At 43.2% G+C, this 20,625-nt stretch overlaps 1 protein-coding gene across 2 annotated transcripts in view, besides 3 other annotated features; it reads left to right on the top strand.

The window, feature by feature from the left end:
- Window positions 1-20,625, top strand: part of MFHAS1 (multifunctional ROCO family signaling regulator 1) — a 110,277-nt gene that overhangs the window by 44,397 nt on the left and 45,255 nt on the right. The gene's annotated exons all lie outside the window — the stretch shown is intronic.
- Window positions 877-1,086: an enhancer, noted in NCBI's record as "active region_26978". NCBI's record gives its function as "activates an Ori minimal core promoter by ATAC-STARR-seq in GM12878 lymphoblastoid cells {active_cell/tissue: GM12878}" and the evidence as "EXISTENCE:reporter gene assay evidence [ECO:0000049][PMID:35858748]".
- Window positions 3,724-3,773: a silencer, noted in NCBI's record as "silent region_18901". NCBI's record gives its function as "represses an Ori minimal core promoter by ATAC-STARR-seq in GM12878 lymphoblastoid cells {active_cell/tissue: GM12878}" and the evidence as "EXISTENCE:reporter gene assay evidence [ECO:0000049][PMID:35858748]".
- Window positions 5,012-5,151: an enhancer, noted in NCBI's record as "active region_26977". NCBI's record gives its function as "activates an Ori minimal core promoter by ATAC-STARR-seq in GM12878 lymphoblastoid cells {active_cell/tissue: GM12878}" and the evidence as "EXISTENCE:reporter gene assay evidence [ECO:0000049][PMID:35858748]".

Genomic DNA, 20,625 nt, shown 5'->3' with positions numbered 1-20,625 from the left:
TGGCTCACGCCTGTAGTCCCAGCTACTCGGGAGGCTAAGGCAGGAGAATCGCTTGAACACGGGAGGCAGAGGTTGCAGTGAGCTGAGATCGTGCCATTGCTCTTCAGCCTGGGCAACAGAGCTAGACTCTATGTCTCCAAAAAAAAAAAAAAAAAAAAAAAAAAAAAAAGGTAAAAAGGAATTAATTGCTGCAGAGCTGTTCTTTGCATTGTGTACCTTTACCCTGCTAGTGGGAGGAAGTGGTCAATTCCATCATGTAGCAATTTAAGAAAAAAGTAAGTATAATAGTGTTTTGAATTCAGAAGTAAATCCCTCTTCCTACCTTCAGAAGAAAAAAGGTAACTTGATTTAACCAGTTTTTAAAAACACCAGCTTTGAGAACGGAAACCGACTTCGCACTGTTTGATTAAATTGGTTCTGTGGCTATTTAATTCATTTGTGTTAAGTAGCCTGTGGGCCGACTGCTTGCCATAGCAGTCTGTGTTTTTCATTTGTTTGCTTTAAAAAACACGTCCTAATGTAAGGACCAAAATCTTTGTCCATTCTCTATTGAGTACTCAATTTATGGTTTAAAAATAACTACCTCTTGCGAGATCTGATTGTTTAAAAAAAATTAATAACTGCCCAGCTCCGTTAGTAGTAAAAGGGCTTGTCTTTATCTCATGAAGTATTTTAATTCAATTTCCAGTTAAATGATCAGGGGTTTTTGAGTTCTGCCTGAGCCGTTTGCCCTTTACGTGTGTCTCTTTATGTTAATGGCTTTCACTTTTATTCCTTTGCCTGCAGTGGAGAGGAAAATGAAGTGGGATGGCATGGCTTCTTTTTTTTTTTTTTTTCTTCCTCTTTAGGCCTGACTGGCCCTTTTTAAAATGGAAAGTAGAGGCACTCCCTCCAAATGGCTAACACGGGTTCAGCGGTGTGTAAATTGGAGTCATAATCCCTTCTTTGAAGACTAGGAGGAGGCTATTATGATAAATGTTGGAGAAATGATTAAAGAGATGAGAACAGCAGGATGCAGATGGCAACTGCAAACCCTGTGGTGTCAGGTGGAACACTCTGGGAGCTCGGCTAAAAGGGACAGAGAAGCAAAGGGACTAGCCAGTGCAGCCCTGGGCGGGCTGGGTGGAAAGCAGCCGTCCCAGATGATTGTCCCAGCAGTTCAGTTGCAACCCAGTGTCTAGGCTGTGCTTTGTTTTTTCTCACCTTTTATCCTAGGATGGGGAAAATATCCCCTAACAGGGAAGGATGTTTGGATAGTGTTTTTAATGTTACATGTGTGCATCACAGCAAGTATACTGCCTCTTTCAATATTTACAAATCTTTTTTTAAAGCATAACTGTGGTGTGAAATTGAGGTTGTTCAGCAACATGGGCTATACCAGATATTGATTAGACTAAGCTGAGCATCCCTTAATGAATGAATTGACTTTAAACACCTGCTGTCTGAAGCGGTTGGGAATAGAAACTCTCCTATCACTGTTGATGATAAAATGGAATTTTAGTTCATACACATTTTCTGAAGGTCCAGAGTGTGCAGGGAATTTACTGCAAAATTGTTTTATACGTCTGTCATGAGATGTCTTCATCAGGTAGTTAGTAAATGACAATTCTAAGCATAGGGCTCTTTTTATTTCTTAGTATATAACCACCAGCTGTCTTATCAATAATGAATTTCCATTCTGTCTTTTGTCAAGTAGATCCTGCCTGCTTCTGAGTAGATCCTTTCTGCTTCTTTGTTTCTTAAGATATTTCTGGCCGGGCGTGGTGACTCACACCTGTCATCTTAACACTTTGACAGGCCAAGGCAGGTGCATCACCTGAGGTCAGGAGTTTGAGACCAGCCTGGCCAACATGGTGAAACCCCGTCTCTACTAAAAATACAAAAATTAGCTGGGTGCGGTGGCACATTCCTCTAATCCCAGCTACTCAGGAGACTGAGGCAGGAGAATCACTTCAACCTGGGAGGTGGAGGTTGCAGTGAGCCCACATCAAGCCATTGTACTCCAGCCTGGATGACAAGAGCAAAACTCTGTCTCAAAAGAAAAAAAACAAAAAATATTTCTAACTAGCGAGTATACACAAGTACCTGTGTCTCCAGTCTTCCTGCCAATTACGAAAAATATCATTGGTGTTAGCCTCATTTTGGTGATTCCTCTGAAAAATCTAAGACAATTGTTTTTCTGAGTGTGTTTGGAGGAGGGATGTTGGAATTCACTCATTCATTTATTCATCCATTCAACAAATATTTATTGTGTCTGGCATATAGTAGATGCATAATAAGTTTATTCCTTCATTCTGCAAGCATTTGTTGAATGCAGTGTATCAAAGGTCATCGTAGACACTGCACAAAGTCATTGTTTTTATGGGTTTTACATACTTGTGATGAGAGACAGAATGATGGGCGGGGTGGGTCGCTGCTATTTTAAATAAAGCAGCCAAGGAAAACCTGTCTAGGAGGGCTAATTCAGCAGAACCTTGAATGAAGTAAGGGAATGAGCAATCTTATTATGTGAGGGAAGAGCATTTGAGGCAGGGAGAACAAGTGCAGAGGCCCCGAGACAGCTGTGTTCTTGGTTTGTTTGAGGCACAACAGGAAGGCTGCAAGCAGGGGAAGAAGGAGAAAAGAGATCAGAGAGGTGCCAGCAGCAGAGGGGAGATTCTGTGAGGCTTGGGAACTTTGAGCTGAGAACATTTTAAATGAACTAGTTTTAAAAGGTCCTGGAGAGTGTGTGGTGAATAGGTAAGGGTGAAGGCAGGGAGGTAAGGCAGGAGACTTTTGCAGTAGTTTGGGCAAGGAACACTGATACCTTGGACTTGCATAGTAGCAGTGGAGCTGGTGACCAGTGGTCATTTTCTTCTCCTTCTCCTTCTCCTCCTCCCCCTCCTCCCCCTCCTCCCCCTCCTACTCCTCCTTCTCCTCCTTCCCCTCCTCCTTCTTATCCTCCTCCCCCTCCTCCTCCTTCCCCCCCCCCCTTTTTTTTGGAGACAGAGTCTCGCTCTGTCGCTCAGGCTGGAGTGCAGTGGCATGTTCTCAGCTCACTGCAGCCTCCACCTCCCAGGTTCGAGCGATTCTCCTGCCTCAGCTTCCTGAGTAGCTGGGATTACAGATGCGTGCCACCATGTCCAGCTAATTTTTGTGTTTTTAGTAGAGACAGGGTTTCGCCATGTTGTCCAGGCTGGTCTCAACCTCCTGACCTCAAGTGATCCGCCTGCCTTGGCCTCCCAAACTGCTGGGAATACAGGTGTTAGCCACTGTGCCAGGCCCATTTTCTAGATCTGTTTGGAGGATCGAGTTGAAGGGGTTGTTGATGGATTTGTTCTGGGTTTTGAGAGAAAGAGGTAAAGACAAAGGTTTTTGGCCTGACAACCAGAAAGATGGAGTTGCTATTTATTGAACTGGGAAAGCTAGGGAGAGGAGCAGATTTTGTGGGGAAAATTAAAATTGGGTGTGGGACCCATTTAGTTTTTTGCTGTGGTTGTTATGAAAAGCTATTATTGTCTCATTCAGTCTTCTCTATGCTTTTCTATAGGGATAAGTGTGCTTTTGTTAACAAATCTCAGAGTATAACACTAAGCTTAAGATAGGGAAATATTAAGTCAAAAAAAGGAAAATTCAGGATAAAGACTAGAAAAGACCACTGAGGAAGAAGCATTCCCCGGAGCCTGCCATGGGCCCCCCAGCAGGAGGGTCTTGTCAAAGGCCATTTAATGAAATTATAAGTGTCTCATTGAGAACCTGTTTCCGGCAGCCTCACAGATGCCACTCATAATCTTCTGCTCCTGGGTCTGCCGCTAGATAAGCGTGCACCCAGGCTTGGGTTTCACTACCCGGTATGCTCTGTGATATGCTAATATTACTGAAAAGGAATATGATTTTCTGCTGCTTCACAGATACATCAATTGTAATCTTGCCAATATTGGTATTGATGATGAAAGCACCTTTTTAAAAAAGTTTTTAAGTGTCTATAGGACTGTTTCTGACTTTTATGTGAACTAACCTAGAAAACTACCATTATTTGTTCAGCTGATTAAATCTGAAAAAGAATGGCAGTTGAAGCAGAACATAAAAAATCCACTTGATTTTATCCTCTTTGCATATGAATGACAGAGGGTCAGTTTAAATTTCTGTTCGTAACTCTAAAGGGAAAAACACATGTGCATTCAGAATACTGAGGGTAGTTGTATCTTAATCCATTTTATAGGTCTTCTTAGTTTTCCTCTTACTCCAACAAAAATGAATTCTTTTCTTCTTCTTCTTCTTTTGTTGCTCTTGTTCTTATCTTCATCCAAGGATTGCTTTGTCATGCAGATAGTTTTGGGCCTTCTTCTTGAAAATACAGCAACAACCTCACTGACCAGTATTAGAACTTAAATTTGCTTATTTGGCCAGTGGTTATGGCCTCTGTGCCAGACACTGTTTTGATGTAGTAGTAGTGCCAGGTAACACCCCTCCTCTCTAGGAGTTGAAAATCAAGTTGGGGAAGAGGAATGGTCAGTAATCCAATATGCCAATTATAATTTAAGCTTTGAGAAGATGTAAGAGAGGTTCAGGGGATAGAGTGTGATGGGTGGTGCATGAGAGATGGTCTGAGAAGGAGGCATCTGAAGCAGAGAGCTGACCTTGCGGAGCTTCCCGTTTATGCCCGAGAAGGTGGACAGAAGCCAGCCCTGCCTCTGCAGAATTAGAGCACGCCAGTTGTGTCATTTTTAGATCTTTTCAGATAAGAAGCTGGTGCAAGAGTCATGCTAACTTTAAACAATGACAGGTGTGCTGTGTATATGCCTAGGCTTATTTGTATTTTGGTAAACAAGACTGGCTAAGTGTGAATAGAGTCATGTTTTGAAGAAGTCTGGACTATTTCCTAAAATGAGCAAATGACACATTTGAAGCCTGCATCTGGTGAGACTACCTGTGAGTCATTTTTCCCATTTTAAAGAGAAATAGTAATATTGAGACAATGATTAACTGACTTAGAATCATACAGTTTTTAGGGCTCCTATGGAAGGACCTTTGGAGACAACGTTGGTTGATTTTTCCTGTTTCTTTGGATGACAAAGCTGAGCCTGAGAAACTGCCCACAGTTCTCTTGCTAGGTTAGTAGTAGAAGGGCTGACACTGCATTCTGGGCTTGCTGACTTCAGAGTTCTTTCTTCTCCATCTGTCATTCTTTTCAAAAGGATTAGAATTTGCGTTTCTGTGCCTTTCAGCATGACACCCATGTAGGTAGAGTCCCAGAGAACAGTGGATTGTTAATTACTTAAATTGATCCCACAATCCCTTATAAAATAAGATTCTGCTATTTTTTAATATTTTGTCCTCTTTAGGCAGGTAATACTGCTTTGGTTAATGATAAAACAGAGGTAATTAATTCTTCAATTTCTACCTTTCCATTTTTGGACCTTAGCGTAAAAGTTAAATTTAAGAGAAATGTGACTCCTTTTCCAGCCTGTAAGATAGGGATGAGTTCGCTGATGTTTATGGGAGCAGGTGCAGGGTGACGTGTGGGGAGAAATGAGCCTCTGCCCTCTCTTCTGACCTGCTTCTTCCACACCGGACCTGCTCACCTTTCACTTTCTTCTTTTTCTCTCCCAAACAGACCCCGCTCCCTGCTTTCTCTCTCACTTTCTTTTTATTTATGTGTTTATTTATTTTTGAAACGGAGTCCCACTCTTTAGCCCAGGCTGGCATGCAGTGGCATGATCACCACTCGCTACGGCCTTAACCTCCTGGGCTCAATCCATCCTCCTGCTTCAGCATCCTGAGTAGCTGGGACTAAAGGTGCACAACACCGTATCTGAGTTTCTTTATTTTTTGTAGAGATGGGGTCTTGAAATGTTGCCTAGGCTGGTCTCGAACTCCTGGCCTCAAGTGATTTGCCCACCTGAGCCTCCCGAAATGTTGGGATTACAGGTGTGAGTCACAGCACCTGGCCCTCTTTCGCTTTCTTTTTTTTTTTTTGAGACGGAGTCTCGCTCTGTCGCCCAGGCGGGACTGCGGACTGCAGTGGCGCAATCTCGGCTCACTGCAAGCTCCGCTTCCGGGGTTCACGCCATTCTCCTGCCTCAGCCTCCCGAGTAGCTGGGACTACAGGCGCCCGCCACCGCGCCCGGCTAATTTTTTTTTTGTATTTTTAGTAGAGACCGGGTTTCACCTTGTTAGCCAGGATGGTCTCGATCTCCTGACCTCATGATCCACCCGCCTCGGCCTCCCAAAGTGCTGGGATTACAGGCGTGAGCCACCGCGCCCGGCCTCTTTCGCTTTCTTAGATGCTAACCAGATACTACTCTTTTGTTTTTCTGTTAATTCAAACCATGCTAATTTGTAAATGCAGATTGCAAAGGCCCAAGTGAGAAATTGGAGAGATCACAGGGAGCACTATGAGCATCCGTCCTGTGTCCTGCAGCATCAGGTGGGAAGGAAGAGGAGGCAGTGTCTGGGATTTCTCATGATGGTGCATGGGTTACTAGGATTAGGGCATTGCTTCTCTAGCTTTAACGTGCTGTCCGATCACCTGGGCACCTTGCTCAAAATGGATGATGCTGAGTCCAGAGATTGGGGCAGGGGCTGAGGTTCTCCTTTCCTTACCAGCTCCTGGGTGATGCCGGTGCTGCTGGTGCAGACCACACTTGATAGCAAGGCTGTACGGATGAGGCTTCTAGTGCGATTTACACGTGCGTCCTGTGTCACTTTGATGTTGTGAGTTACTGTGTACCGAGGAAATGTTAGCATTCAAAATCAGACGTGGGGTCGGGCATGGTGGCTCACGCCTATTACAATCCCAGCACTTTGGGAGGCTGAGGTGGGTGGATCTCCTGAAGTCAGGAGTTCGAGATCAGCCTGGTGAACGTGGTGAAACCCTGTCTCTACTAAAAATACAAAAATTAGCTGGGCTTGGTGGTGGGTGCCTGTAATCCTAGCTACTCAGGAGGCTGAGGCAGGAGAATCGCTTGAACCTGGGAGGCAGAGGTTGCAGTGAGCCGAGGTTGAGCCACCGCACTCCAGCCTGGGCAACAGAGCGAAATTCCGTTTCAAAAAAAAAAAGAAAAGAAAATCAGACCTGTGAAGTTACAGTTTCTCCGGAAGAAGGTAGGGTGGGTCGTGCTGCTTCTTTCAGGACTTCCCTTGAAAACCTGCAGCAGGCTGTCCGGTTACTAAGATGATTATAAAGGCGCAGCCTTGTTGGCACTCAGCCTCCCACATTGCTTGGCTCATTCTTTCACCGTAGAGAAACACCGGCTCTGATTATTTTTAACTGCATGCCTTGCTGAGACTGAGTAGGGGTTTTTATTTCTGGAGCTAATGCAGAACACACATCCCTCTTTCTTTAAATGCAGAAAATCTCACATAAGGTTGCCAAAGTAGGATGGCATATTTCCTAAAATTCTGCAGCAACATAAGGGTGGCTTATTCTGGGATACGAACAGGAAGATCAAGTCTTTTTGGTTCAACCCAAACTCTCGTACCCGTGGGGTGTGGCCCATGTGGGGTCTGGAAGGCTTCGTGGAGCAGGGAAGAGTATAACCAGGGGCTGGCTTCTTATTCCTGTTCAGTCTCTCTGCAGCCTGGAAGGAGCTACTTAACTTCCTTTTGGCCTTACCATTGCCATTTTTGAAATAAAAGTCCTCCACTCGACTGTCTGACCGAGTGATTGTCAGCTCACAAGGCCTCTTACATTCAGCATGTTTGCTTGAGGGGAATGAGTGAGTGTTTTACATGTGGTGGATCCATTCCCAGCAAACAACAAAAAGAAGTCTTTTTTTTTTTTTGAGACGAAGTCTTGATCTGTCGCCCAGGCTGTAGTGCAGTGGTGCATTCCCGGCTCACTCTGCCTCCTGGGTTCAAGCGATTCTCCTGCCTCAGCCTCCCGAGTAGCTGGGATTACAGGCGTGCGCCACCACGCCCAGCTCATTTTTGTATTTTTAGTAGAGATGGGGTTTCACTATGTTGGCCAGGCTGGTCTTAAACTCATGACCGCAGGTGATCCGCCTGCCTCGGCCTCCCAAAGTGCTAGGATTACGGTTGTGAGCCACCACGCCCGACCCAAAAAGAAGTCTTGAAGTACAGCCCGCCATCGGTATTTTTAGCACATGAAGAATATCTTAAGGAATATGCGAAGGAGATGTTACATAGGTAGCTTGACCTTTATTAAGGCACTTGGTAATTGCCCTACATTTTATTATTTTTTACTTATTTAAGGTTAAATGAAGACATTTAAAATATTACATGTGATGGGGCTTATAGTTTTACATACAATGTCATAGTTTGTGTGCCTTGTTTAAAACAAATCCAATATGAGAATATGCTCTTGTGTAAGAAGTGTATCATTTTACTAAAGGATTTATAAGATATTTGAATCAGGAATCCTGTAGTACTTTAAAAAGTGGTACCTTCTACACCATCTTTTTAGGAGCATGTTTATCACACAAGGCAAGGCAAATCACTAGGTTAGGCATCCAGTACATAGAATTCGACTAGAAGTGTAGTGAGGTGTGAGATTTAGGGGGACAGGGATTCTAAGAACCAACGGCATCTAACTAATGGACTTGTTCCTAAAGGAATGTTGAAGAAGTGATCATCCATCTTAAAAGATTGTGCCTTCAGAAGAACTGAAGGATACTTTTGCTTTCGTGTACAGTGTGCCGAGTTTGATGGTATGTCATTACCGGGTCGGGTCCATGAATGACCGGCACCATCATGGCTGCCAAGTCCTTGAGATTTGAACAAGATGTTCCAGATGGTAATGAACCATTCTTTTTTTTTTTTTTTTTTTTTGTATTGAGATGGAGTCTCACTCTGTGGCCCAGGCTAGAGTGCAGTGGCACAATCTCGGCTCACTGCAAGCTCCGTCTCCCAGGTTCAAGTGATTCTCATGCCTCAGCCTCCTGAGTAGCTGGGACGACAGGTGTGTGCCACCATACCTGGCTAATTTTTGTATTTTTAGTAGACACAGGGTTTTGCCATGTTGGCCAGGCTAGCCTGAAACTCCTGACCTCAAGTGATCTGCCCGCTTCGGCCTCCCAAAGTGCTGAGATTACAGGCGTGAGTCACTGTGCCCGGCCAGTAATGAGCATTTTGTTGCGTCCCTGGAGTCTTCCTAATAATGAGGTAGTGGCAGTGGGGTTGGAACAGTAGGTGCTTGGATATGTCTTTTGATGGATAACAATTCCTTAAAAACATTGAGTTACACTGTACAAACATATATGTGTATATATACGTATATGTATATCCATTTACTAGAATTAAGAGAATGCATTCAAATACTAGTGGGTTTGTATCTTTTTTTTCTTTTTCCTCCAATTATTGTGTTTATCTTGACTTGCTATTAAAGCTCTGGAAATACTCATCTGAGACAGTCCAGGCATGGTAGGTTCTGGATCTTCCACTGTAATACTATGTGAAATGAGATATTCTTTGTTTCTTAGAAACAGGTGGATTCAGCCAGGTGACCGTTACTCTTTGGGCTCGTGTTACAAGGATATCATGATGGTGTTTCATTGATATATGTAATCAATAATATATTACGTTATTTCAGCCAGACCTAGGAATAAATAATACTGCTCTCTTTTATTGAGAGTGGCTTGGTGATTTTCAAAGTTTGTTTATATGCCATCATCAGATCTGCAGAGCAAGCTTATGAGATGAGGAAGGCATGGATTGGTGGACATAAGAAATGGAGGGTTAAGGCAAGTGGTTACTTACCCACAGTCACTAATTTCATAATTGGTAGATTTGGGACCAGAACTAGGATATCTCATTTCCAGCCTAGTGTTCTTTCTGTGATATTTGTTAAAGGGGCCATCTGGTTAAAAGGATAGTCTGGCTCTTTAATGATGATAGCTTTCAAATATATAACACTTTACAGTTTGACAGGCTTTTACATAGATAGCACATTTTCTTCACAAAAAGACAAATAATGGCTTTACATATGTTGGATGAAGATGTGGAGAAATTAGAGTCTTTGCATACTGTTGAGAAGAAAAAAAAACTTTATTTTTCTCTTTCTCAGTCAGTTTTTGCAGCAAGTCTTTTATAGTCCTTATTTTTTTTTTAATTCTCTCTTCCCCAGGTTTAATTTTCTTAAGAGGCAGATTTATAATACTAAGTAATATCCAGAATAGATAGTTCCTGCAGGAAATGGGTTTATTGTTCTCATAAATTTTAGTGGTCTAGTTTGTCAATATTACTGTCATTTCTTAATAGCATTTGTCTTTCTGAGTAGTAACTTGTACTTGAATTAAAATCTTTCACATGTATAGAGTGGAGCAAAGAGACCCTGCATATATTATAAAATGGTACATGCCTTTGCTTAGTTGTCATTGTGTTAGATCAGAGAAAGAGAAAGTCCTTTAAAATATGAAAATAACTGGTACTCAGGAAGGGAGAAGAGAAGCTTGAAGGTACGTGGATTTTTTTTTTTTTTTTGAGGCAGGGTCTCGCCCTGTTGCTCAGTCTGGAGTGCAGTGGTGCAGTCTCGACTCACTACAACCTCTGCCTCCCAGTTCAACCGATTCTCCTGCCTCACCCTCCTGAGTAGCTGGAATTACAGGCACCCGCCTCCATGCCCAGCTAATTTTTGTATTTTTAGTAGAGACACGGTTTTGCCATGTTGGCCAGGGTGGTCTTGAACTCCTGACCTCAGGTGATCCGCCCGCCTCTGCCTCCCAAAGTGCTGGGATTACAGGCATGAGCCAACGTGCCCAGCTGATATATGGAATTTTATGTGAGGCTTATTAGAAGGTGTGGGGTATAGGGGGAAGAAGGACAGCTTCGCTTCTTTTCATCTTTCAATATGAAAACACAGCAGGATAGCGTAAAATTTTTTTAATGATGTATAGTTTGCATACAATAAAATGTACCATTTTAACTATACATTTGGGTGAATTGTGACAGATTTAGGTATCTACCACCACAATCAAGAATATAGACCCTTCCCCTCAATCCTGGGGTTGCTTTCTGCCTCTTCCCAGCCAGGCCTCCCTCATGCCAGCCTCAGGCAACCACTGATGGGCTTTTTGTCACTATAGATTAGATCTGCCTTGTCTAGAGCTTCGTAGAAATCCTAACGGATAGTCTTTTGTCTGACCTTTTCACTCAGTGTAATGTATTTGACACTCACTCTTGAGGTGTTGCACAGGTCAGTACTTCATCCATCTTATTGCTGAATATGCCGGTTTATTTATCCATTCACCAGCTGATAGACATAGAGGCTGTTTCCAGTTTGGGGTGATTATAAATAAAATTGTTATGAACATGCATGTACAAGTCTTTGTGTGCTGGACATGTCATTGTTTCTCCTGAGTAAACATGTAGGGGTGGAATGGTGGGTCACATGGTGTTAAATCATTTCGCTGATTTTACTGAGCAGTCATAATACTGTTTTCTGTAGCGGTTGTACCATTTTACATTCCCACCCACAGTGCACAAGAGTTCCAGTTTCTCCACATCCTAGCTAACACTTGTTATTTATTTATTTTTTTAATAGTAGCCCTCCTAATGGGTGTGCAGTGGTATCTCATTGTGTTTTAAATTTGCATGTTCCTAATGATAAGTGGTGTTGAGCATCTTCTTCCTCTTCTTTTTTTTTTTCAGTTGAGATGGGGTCTCACTCTGTCGCCCAGGCTGGAGTGCAGTGGCGCGATCTTGGCTCACTGCAACCTCCGCCTCCTGGGTTCAAGGAATTCTTGTGCCTCAGCCTCTCGAGTAGCTTGGGAGTATAGGTGTGCGCCACCACGCTTGGCTAATTTTTGTATTTTTAGTAAAGACAGAGTTTCACCATGTTGGCCAGACTGGTTTCGAACTCCTGATCTCTCAAGTGATCCGCCCGCCTTGCCTCCCAAAGTGTTGAGATTAGGCGTGAGCCACTGCGCCTGGCCAAGCATCTTCTTATGTACTTATTGGATGTTCTTCTTTGGAGAAATGTCTATTCAACTCCTTTGCTGCATTGCTTTTTAAAATATTTGGACTTGAAAGCCCAGCAAGGATAACTATTTTGTTCTTCTGCTCTAAGAATATATAAAGATCTTGCTCAACTCAGCAGAACATTTGTATCATCATTTCAGAACTGCAGTGGTATGAACATCTAGTTGCTAATTACATATTTAGAATAGTTCATATTTCAAAATGCTAAATAAATATTTGTGGGCACTGAGCCTAGTTATTATGTTTTGCCAAAGTCACAAGTTCCGCCATTGCACGTCCCAATCCAGTTCAGCTTGTACAAAAATGCTTAAAATCTCTTTTGCATGAAACTATGTTTTGGTCATGACATTAAGCAGACAGAATGAGACTTAATATGTCTTTAAAGGGTCATTTTAAATAAACAACAAGATGACTGTCACTGCGGCGGAACAAAAAGAGGAAAGAAGAAAGGTTGGTTAACTTAGAGAAAAATGGCAAGATTCAGATGGGAAAGGGAATCAGAATTTTTAGACCCCTGTGTGCAGAAAGGAAACTAAAGGAAGTTATCTAGCTCTACTTCATTTGTTCTCCCCAACCTTGAGTTCATGGATAGAGATGAATGGAGATACCAGGAAGTGTTCAAAAAGGAAAAGTGGATGGTTGGGCGAGGTGGCTCATGCATTTAATCTCAACACTTTGGGAGACTGAGGTGGGAGGATCACTTGAGGCCAGGGGTTTGAGACTAACCTGGGCAACATAGGAAGACCCTGCCTCCACAGAAAAAACAAAATTGGCTGGGTGTGGTGGTGGACACCTGTAGTCTCCAGCTTTTTGGAGGCTGAGGTGGGAGGTTCACTCGAGCCCGGGAGTTTGAGACTGCAGTGAGTTCCGATCATGCCACTGCACTCCAGCCTGGGCAGCAGAACAAGACCCTGTCTCTAAAAAACAAAACAAAACAATAAAGTAGAAAGGAAAGCTGGGTACTTTTTCTAAGAAGCCAAGAGCCATTGATAATTACAACTCACAGAAGCAGACTTTTTGAGAGGGACGCCACCCAGAACCTGAGGCTACTCAAACTATTATTTTGTCAGAAGCAACAGGGTTGCCTGAAATTTGCAATTGAAACAGTGTGCTTTTCTCACATACACAGCCTTTATGTAATTGTTCAGTTGTGTTTTAAAAAGAAATAACATCACTGAGGTGTTTGGTTTTCTCCTTTTCTTTCCTCTCTGTCTTGCATGGTTCAGCATGTTGTTTTAGGTCAACAGATATATTATAGATTGGAGTTCAGCACACTTTTTCTTTGAAGGGCTAGATAGTAATTATTTCTCGCTTCGCAGGCTATAGCCTGTGTGGCAACCACCTACCTGTGCCACTGTAGTAGCATCGGTTAGCAGAATTGCACTACCTTGGAAAGCAGTCGTAGATAATATGTAAATGACTGGCTGTGGTTAAGTTCCAATAAAACTTTATTTACAAGAACAGGCAGCGGGCCATGTTTTGCCAACTTTTGTTCTAAATAATCACAAGAGGCCATGAAAAGTTTAATTTCCATACATGAGAACTGGGTCTGAATATTGACTCTTCTACGTAGTATAATGGGTGTCCCAAATACTCTTACCCAGTAAAGGATCTTTTAAAATTTTAAGTTGAAACCATATTCAGTGGCAGGAATCCTGAGGAAGTGAGAGAGAAAAGCTTTATAAATATTAATAAGTGCTGAAAATTAAGTTGTTGAAAAAATTGTTCACATAAAAGATCATTATATAGCAAGTTTGGAATTTAGTTTCAATTTTCATTTCCTTGTAGAAACATCTTCATCGTGAGGAAAATGAGGGAATTAATGAACATTTGTTTCCTGAGTGTGAGCTGTGATACCTTGTAGTCACTGAGATGGCGGCTGCATGATGGGTATCTCGTAACTCTGCTCCGGGATGCCCACCATCTAGAAAGATGCTCAAGACCCGTGGGACAGGATAGTGTTTAGGAATGTGTGTTTTAAACTTTTCTTGCAGTATTTAATTTCTAAATAAACTTTATTAAGGTATAATTTATATACAGTAAAAATGCACCTATTTTTTTAAGTGTGTGATAGATTCTATGGGTTTTGACATGCATTCACTCCCAATCAAGATAGAGAGCATTCACTCCCATTACCCCAAATGTACCCTCACTCCCCTAATGCTCACCCTCGAACAACCACTCATCTGCTTTCTGTCCATGGGAATTAGGTTGCCCTATTAGAGAGCTTCCTATACATTCAGTCATTTAGTATGTACTTTTTTTGTGTCTGGTTTAGAGGTTTGCAAACTTCCTTGGTTCACAGTGCCTTTAGAATCCATAATTTTTTATGGTGTTGAAAGTTAAAAGGGATACCTACCAGTTCCATTAGATCCAGAGAACTCATTAAAAGTAGCTTACATGGTGTCCCACAATTATTGCTGTTTCCCTCCAAGATTTAAAATATCCAGTGGCATGTCTGTGAGTTCACTGGGGGCCCTGGGGTGGTTTCGTGCACAGTTGAGGAACCACAGATCTGGCTTCTTCTACTTAGCATAATGTTTTGGAGGTTTATTTATGTTGTTACATGAATGAATACAGTCATGCATCCCTTAATGATGGGGATACTGAGAAATGTGTCATTAGGCAATTTCATTGTTGTATGAACATCATAGAGTGGACCCACATAACTTACATGTTACAACCTATTATGCACCTAGGCTATATGGTCAAGCCTGTTGCTCCTAGAATAGAAACCTGTGCAGCATGTTACTGTAATCAATACTATAGGCAATTATAACACAGTGGTACTTGTGTATCTCAAATGTGAACACAGAAGAGGTACTGTCAAAATACAGTATAAAAGACAGAAAATGGTGCACTTGTATAGGGCACGTCTCGTGAATGGAGCCTGCGTACTGGAAGTGTCTCTGGGTGAGTCAGTGAATGAGTAATGAGTAAATGTGAAGGCCTAGTACATTACTGCACATTACTGTAGGCTTTATAAACATGGAACACTTAGGCAACACTAAATTTATTTTAAAAAATTGAGTTATGGCGGCTATGATGTCACTCCGTGATAGGAATTTTTCCACTCCATTATAATCTTATGGGACCACCATAGTATAAAATGTCATTATGCTGCATGTGACAGTAGTCTGTTCCTGTTTTTTGTTTGTTTGTTTGTTTGTTTTGTTTTTTTTGTTTTTTTTGACAGAGTCTCACTCGGTTGCCCAGGCTGGAGTGCAGTGGCACGATCTTGGCTCACTGCAGCCTCCGCCTCCCGGGTTCAAGCGATTCTCATGCCTCAACCTCCTGAGTAGCTGGGATTACAGACATGTACCACCATGCCCAGCTAATTTTTGTATTTTTAGTAGAGACGGGGTTTTACCATGTTGGCCAGGCAGGTGTTGAACTCCTGTCCTCAGGTGATCCGCCCACCTCAGCTTCCCAAAGTGTAGGCTGTTTCTTTTTGTTGTTGAGTAGTATTCCATTTTAGGAAGTACTGCAGTATGTTCATTCATTTGATGGGACATTTGGGTTCTTCTCATTTTTTTGGCAATGTGAATAAAGTCACTATGAACATTCACATGTAAGGCTTTGTGTAAGCATATATTGTCATTGCTCTAAGATTAGAATTGCTAGGTCATATGGAAAGTGCATGTCTAGCTTTTTGTTTATTTGTTGATTTAATTTATTTATTCTTAAAGACAGGGTCTTGTTCTGTCACCCAGGCTAGAGTGTGGTCGTGCAATCGTGGCTCACTGCAGCCTTGAACTCCTGGTTTCAAGCAGTCTTCCTACCTCAGCCTCCTGAGTAGCTGAGACTTCAGGCATGTACCACCACGCCTGGCTAATTTTTAATTTTTTTGTAGACATGGGGTCTCCCTGTGTTGCCCAGGCTGGTCTTGAACTCCTGGCCTCAAGCGATCCTCCCACTTCCGCCTCTCCATATGTTAGGATTATGGCATGAATCACTGCACTCAGCCCATGTCTAGCTTTATAGGAAGCTGCCAAATTTTTCCAGAGTGTTTGTACCATTACATTCTGATATGATTTGGATCTATGTCCCCACACAAATCTCATGTTGAAATGCAATCCCCAGTGCTGAAGGTGGGGCCTGGTGGGAGATGATTGGATCAGGGGGTGGTCTCTAATGGTGTAGCACCAGTCCCCCTTTGGTGGTGTTGTCACGATGGTGAATTCTCATGGGATCTGGTTGTTTAAAAGTGTGTGGCACCTTCCCTTCTCTTTCTTCCTCCTGCTCCTGCCATGTAAGACACCTGCTCCCCCGTTGCCCTCTGTGATGAGTAAAAGCTCGTTGAGGCCCTCCTAGAAGCAGATGCTTCCGTGCTTTTTGTACAGCCTGCAGAACTGTGAGCCAATTAAGCCTCTTTTCTTTATAAATTACCCGGTCTCAAGTATTTCTTTATAGCAGTGTAAGAATGGGCTACTACACAATTCGACCAATAGTTTGTAAAAATTCTTAGCCTGGGCAACTAAAAGAGACCTCGCCTCGACAAAAAATTAAAAGTGAAAACTTAGCATGTAGTAATGGCATGTGCCTGTAGTCTCGGCGAGTCAGGAGGCTGAAGTGGGAGGAACGCTTGAGCCTAGGAGTTCAAGGTGGCCGTCAGCTATGATTGAGCCACCACACTCCAGCCTGGGCAACAGAGAGAGACTCTGTCTTGAAAAAAAAAAAAAAAAAAGAAAAAAATTCTGGTTGCATCACATGTTCATCAGTACTTGGTATTGTCAGTCATTTTAATTGCAGGCATTCTAGTGGTTATGTTGTGTATCTTCGTAAGGTTTCTGTTTGTGTTTCTGATAGCTAATGATGAGCATCTTTGCTCATTGTGCCATTTCTGTGGTTACTGGCTCTGTGTGTGTGTGTGTGTGTGTGTGTGTGTGAAGTATCTTGTTCTAATTTTTGCCCATTTTTAATAGGGTTGCTTGTCGTCTTATCATTGAGCTGTATGAGTTTTTAAATATATTCTAGAAACAAGTCCTTTGCCAGATGTATGTATTACAAACATGTTCTCCCAGTGGGTGGCTTGCTTTTTCATTTTCTTCAAGTGTCTTTTGAAGAGCAAGAGTTCAACATTTCAATTTGTCGAAGTCTTCTGGTTAGTACTTTTTTTTTTCTTTCTTTCTGTCCCTCTCAAGGTTAAGAAGACCTTCACCTAGAAGTTTGTGATTTTGGCTTTTGCATTTAGGTCTAGGATCTATTTCAAGTTACTTTGGTGCGTGTGTGTGTGTGTGTGTGTGTGTGTGCGCGCGCGCGCGCGTGCATGTGCGCCTTGAAGTAAGGATTGAGGTTTATTTTCTTTTCCATACAGATATCCAGTTGTTTTAGCACCATTTGCTGAAAAAAGCTATTCTTTCTCCTTTAAATTGCCTGGGCTCTTGTCAAAAATCAATTGACGGCTGGGGGCGGTAGCTCACACCTGTAATCCCAGCACTTTGGGAGGCTGAGGCAGGCAGACGGATCACGTGAGGTCAAGAGTTTGAGACTAGCATGGCTAACATGGTGAAACCCGTCTCTACTAAAAATATAAAAGTTAGATGGGTGTGGTGGCGCATGCCTGTAATCCCAGCTACTCAGGAGGCTGAGGCACAAGAATCGCTTGAACCTGGGAGGCGGAGGTTGCAGTGAGCTGAGATTGCACCACTCCAGCCTGGGCGACCGAGTGAGACTGTCTCAAAAAAAAAAAAAAAAATTGACCATTTATGTGTTTGTCTATTTCTGAACTCTATTCTGTTCTATTGATCTATATGTCTGTTCACATTACCCTGATTCTTGTAGCTTTGTGGTACGTTTTGAAATCAGGTGATTGTGGAGATGTATTTTTCCCATCCAAGTACTAACGAGGCCCGACCCTGCTTAGCTTTCCAGATCAGGTAGTATGGCTGTAGACAAGAAGGTGTATTTTTAAGTTGGATTTATTCGATCAAACTTTTATCAAATGCATTATTCTACTCATATTGGAAAAATGAAGTAAGAGTATCATTTTTCAAAGTTGGCATTGCTTGGGACTGATTTGTGACTCCCAAATTATATGTTGAAGCCCCAACCCCCAATGTATATTGGAGATAGAGTCTATAAGGAGGTTTTAAGGTTAAATGAGATCATGAGGGTGGTTGCTGATTCAGTGGGGTTAGTGTCCTTATTGGAAGAGACCCCCGAGAGCCCACTGTGTCTCTCTCTGCCATGTGAGGACATAACAAGAAGGCAGCATTCTACAAGCTAGGGAGAGGCCCTCACCAGACACCAACCATGCAGGCACCCTGATCTTGGACCTCCCAGCCTCTGGACTGTGAGAAACTACATTTCTGTAGTTTAAACTACCCAATCCGTAGTATTTTGGTATAGCAACCTGAGCAGACTAAGACAAAGAGCAAGCTGACTTTAAAGGAAGGGAAAGTATACTGAGAATATTGGCTGGGCACGGTGGCTCATGCCTGTAATCCCAGCACTTTGGGAGGCCGAGGTGGGCGGATCACCTGAGGTCAGGAGTTTGAGACCAGCCTGCCAACATGGCAAAACTCCGCCTCTACTAAAAATACAAAAATTAGCCGGGCATGGTGGTGCTGTAATCCCAGCTACTCGGGAGGCTGAGGCATGTGAATTACTTGAAACCGGGTGGCGGAGGTTGCACTGAGCCAAGATCACACCACTGCACTGCAGCCTAGAAGAAAGAGCAAGAATCCATCTCAAAAAGAAATATATAGGATAGGATTCCTTGCTTTAGGGCCAACTTTGGTGACCTTGGGTACATGTTTCCTTTCCTGTAAAATTAGAAAATTGGTCCAGAGAACTCTAGAATAGCCCCCACTAATGTCCTATTTAAATTTAATAACCTGTAATTTTAGATGGATTATGAGTGATTTTCTCTTTTACTTGTATTCTCTGCCCTGATTCAGGTTTTAAAATAGCTGAACAAAAACAATACTGAAAGCCAAATCGTTTGATGAAAACGGTGGCTGACACTTAATAATAACTTAGTCTTCTTTTAGTTAAAATGCTTCAGGAAAATCCTGATATAGATAGAACCAGACTCTAGTTTATTTTAGGAGTTTTTACAGTCATTTCTTCCTTGAGCCTTTTGCTTGGTGTTTCCTGACACAGAACTCGAAGCCATGCTTTCTCCTTAGTTAATGGCTCCCCACGCCAGAGGTGTGGGGCCACCTCATATATGTGTCCTGGGACAGATCCCAGGATTGGAGAGAAATTAGAGGTCATCTAGTCCCGGGCATTTCAAATGTGGTCCCTGGACTAGCAGCTTCGACCTCCCCTGGGAGAATATTAGGAATGCAGAATCCCAGGCCACACCCCAGACCTGCCGAAGCAGGCACACTCTAAAGCAAGGCTGAGAAGCACTGTTCTAGTTGAACAGTGAAGAATCTTCTGTATGGTCTTCCCAGCAGACCATCTGGCCTCTGGGCACCTCTGAACGTGACCTCACGTGAGGCAATCTGTTCCATTTGTGGACAGTTCTGTTCAAGTCTCTTTTTTGTATTTATCTGAAATGTGTCTTCCCCTCCCTTCTAGTTTAACTTGCTGTCATCCATTGGTCCTGCCATTGTGTCAGGCACTGAGGATACCCCACGCAATCTCCTTTCTCAAAGATCTCGCAATCTTTTGTTTGTTGGTTTGAGACAGAGTCTCACTCTTTCGCCCAGGCTGAAGTGCAGTGGCGTGATCTCGGCTCACTGCAACCTCCACCTACTGGGTTCAAGCGATTCTCCTGCCTCAGCCTCCTCAGTAGCTGGGATTACAGGTGCCTGCCACCTTGCTTGGCTAATTTTTGTATTTTTAGTAGAGATGGGGTTTCACCATGTTGGCCAGGCTGGTCTTGAACTCCTGACCTCAAGTGATCTACCCACCTAGGCCTCCCAACGTGCTCTGATTACAGGCATGGGCCATGGCGCTGGACAGATCTCACGATCTGATATAGAAATAGAGATGTCCATGAATGAACTAGAGCACAGTGTGAGAAAGGCAGTGAAGAAGATGATGTCCAGGGTGCTGAGCTGCACGGAGAAGGGTGCTGGAGAGGACCTCCAGGTGGGGGTGCAGCCCGGTACACATACTGAGTTGGAATCTGCCAGACTCAGGATGGGGAAGGGGTTCTGGGAGGGCGCTCCGCACCCAGAGAAGAGCTTAGCAGAGGCATGAGAGGTGACGTATTGGGGTCCCTGAAAAGTTTGATTTCCTTATGTTAAAGTAGCAAGGAGCTGGGAAAGTGGGCAGGGGGCTGGATCACAAAGGGCCCATTCTGCAGTGTCCAAGGAGTTCACTTGAATGTGAGAGGCTGGGGAGAATAGATTTGCATTGTAGGAAGAAGGCTGCTGGCTGCAGTAACGGGCCGGAAGAGGGAGGCAGGGGTGCTCTTAGCAGATTGACAGAGCCTGATCTAAAGGAAAGACATGAAGGACTGAGCTAGGGGCGGGATAAGAGCTCGGCCACTAGTCTCTAAGGAATCTACCTCATAAATCTAAAGCAGCAAATCCTGTCCCCTCAGTTCTCCACTTTTGCTCAATGCTTATTCATTAGGGGCCAGCTCTTTCCAGGCTATGCACGCCGTGAGGACTGCACAGATAAAGGTGGCGTGGGCCTTGCCCGCATTACAGAGTGTCACTGCTTAGTGGGCAGTGGGCATCTCCAGTTATTCCTTCTTCATGTGATATTGTTTTAAATGCCCTTAGCTTTTGCGTTTTTCCTCCG

This window comes from Homo sapiens, chromosome 8, assembly GCF_000001405.40.
Source record: "Homo sapiens chromosome 8, GRCh38.p14 Primary Assembly".
Lineage (NCBI taxonomy): Eukaryota > Metazoa > Chordata > Mammalia > Primates > Hominidae > Homo > Homo sapiens.
The sequence above is the reverse complement of the archived record's forward strand: the minus strand, read 5'-3'. Positions and strand labels throughout refer to the sequence as shown.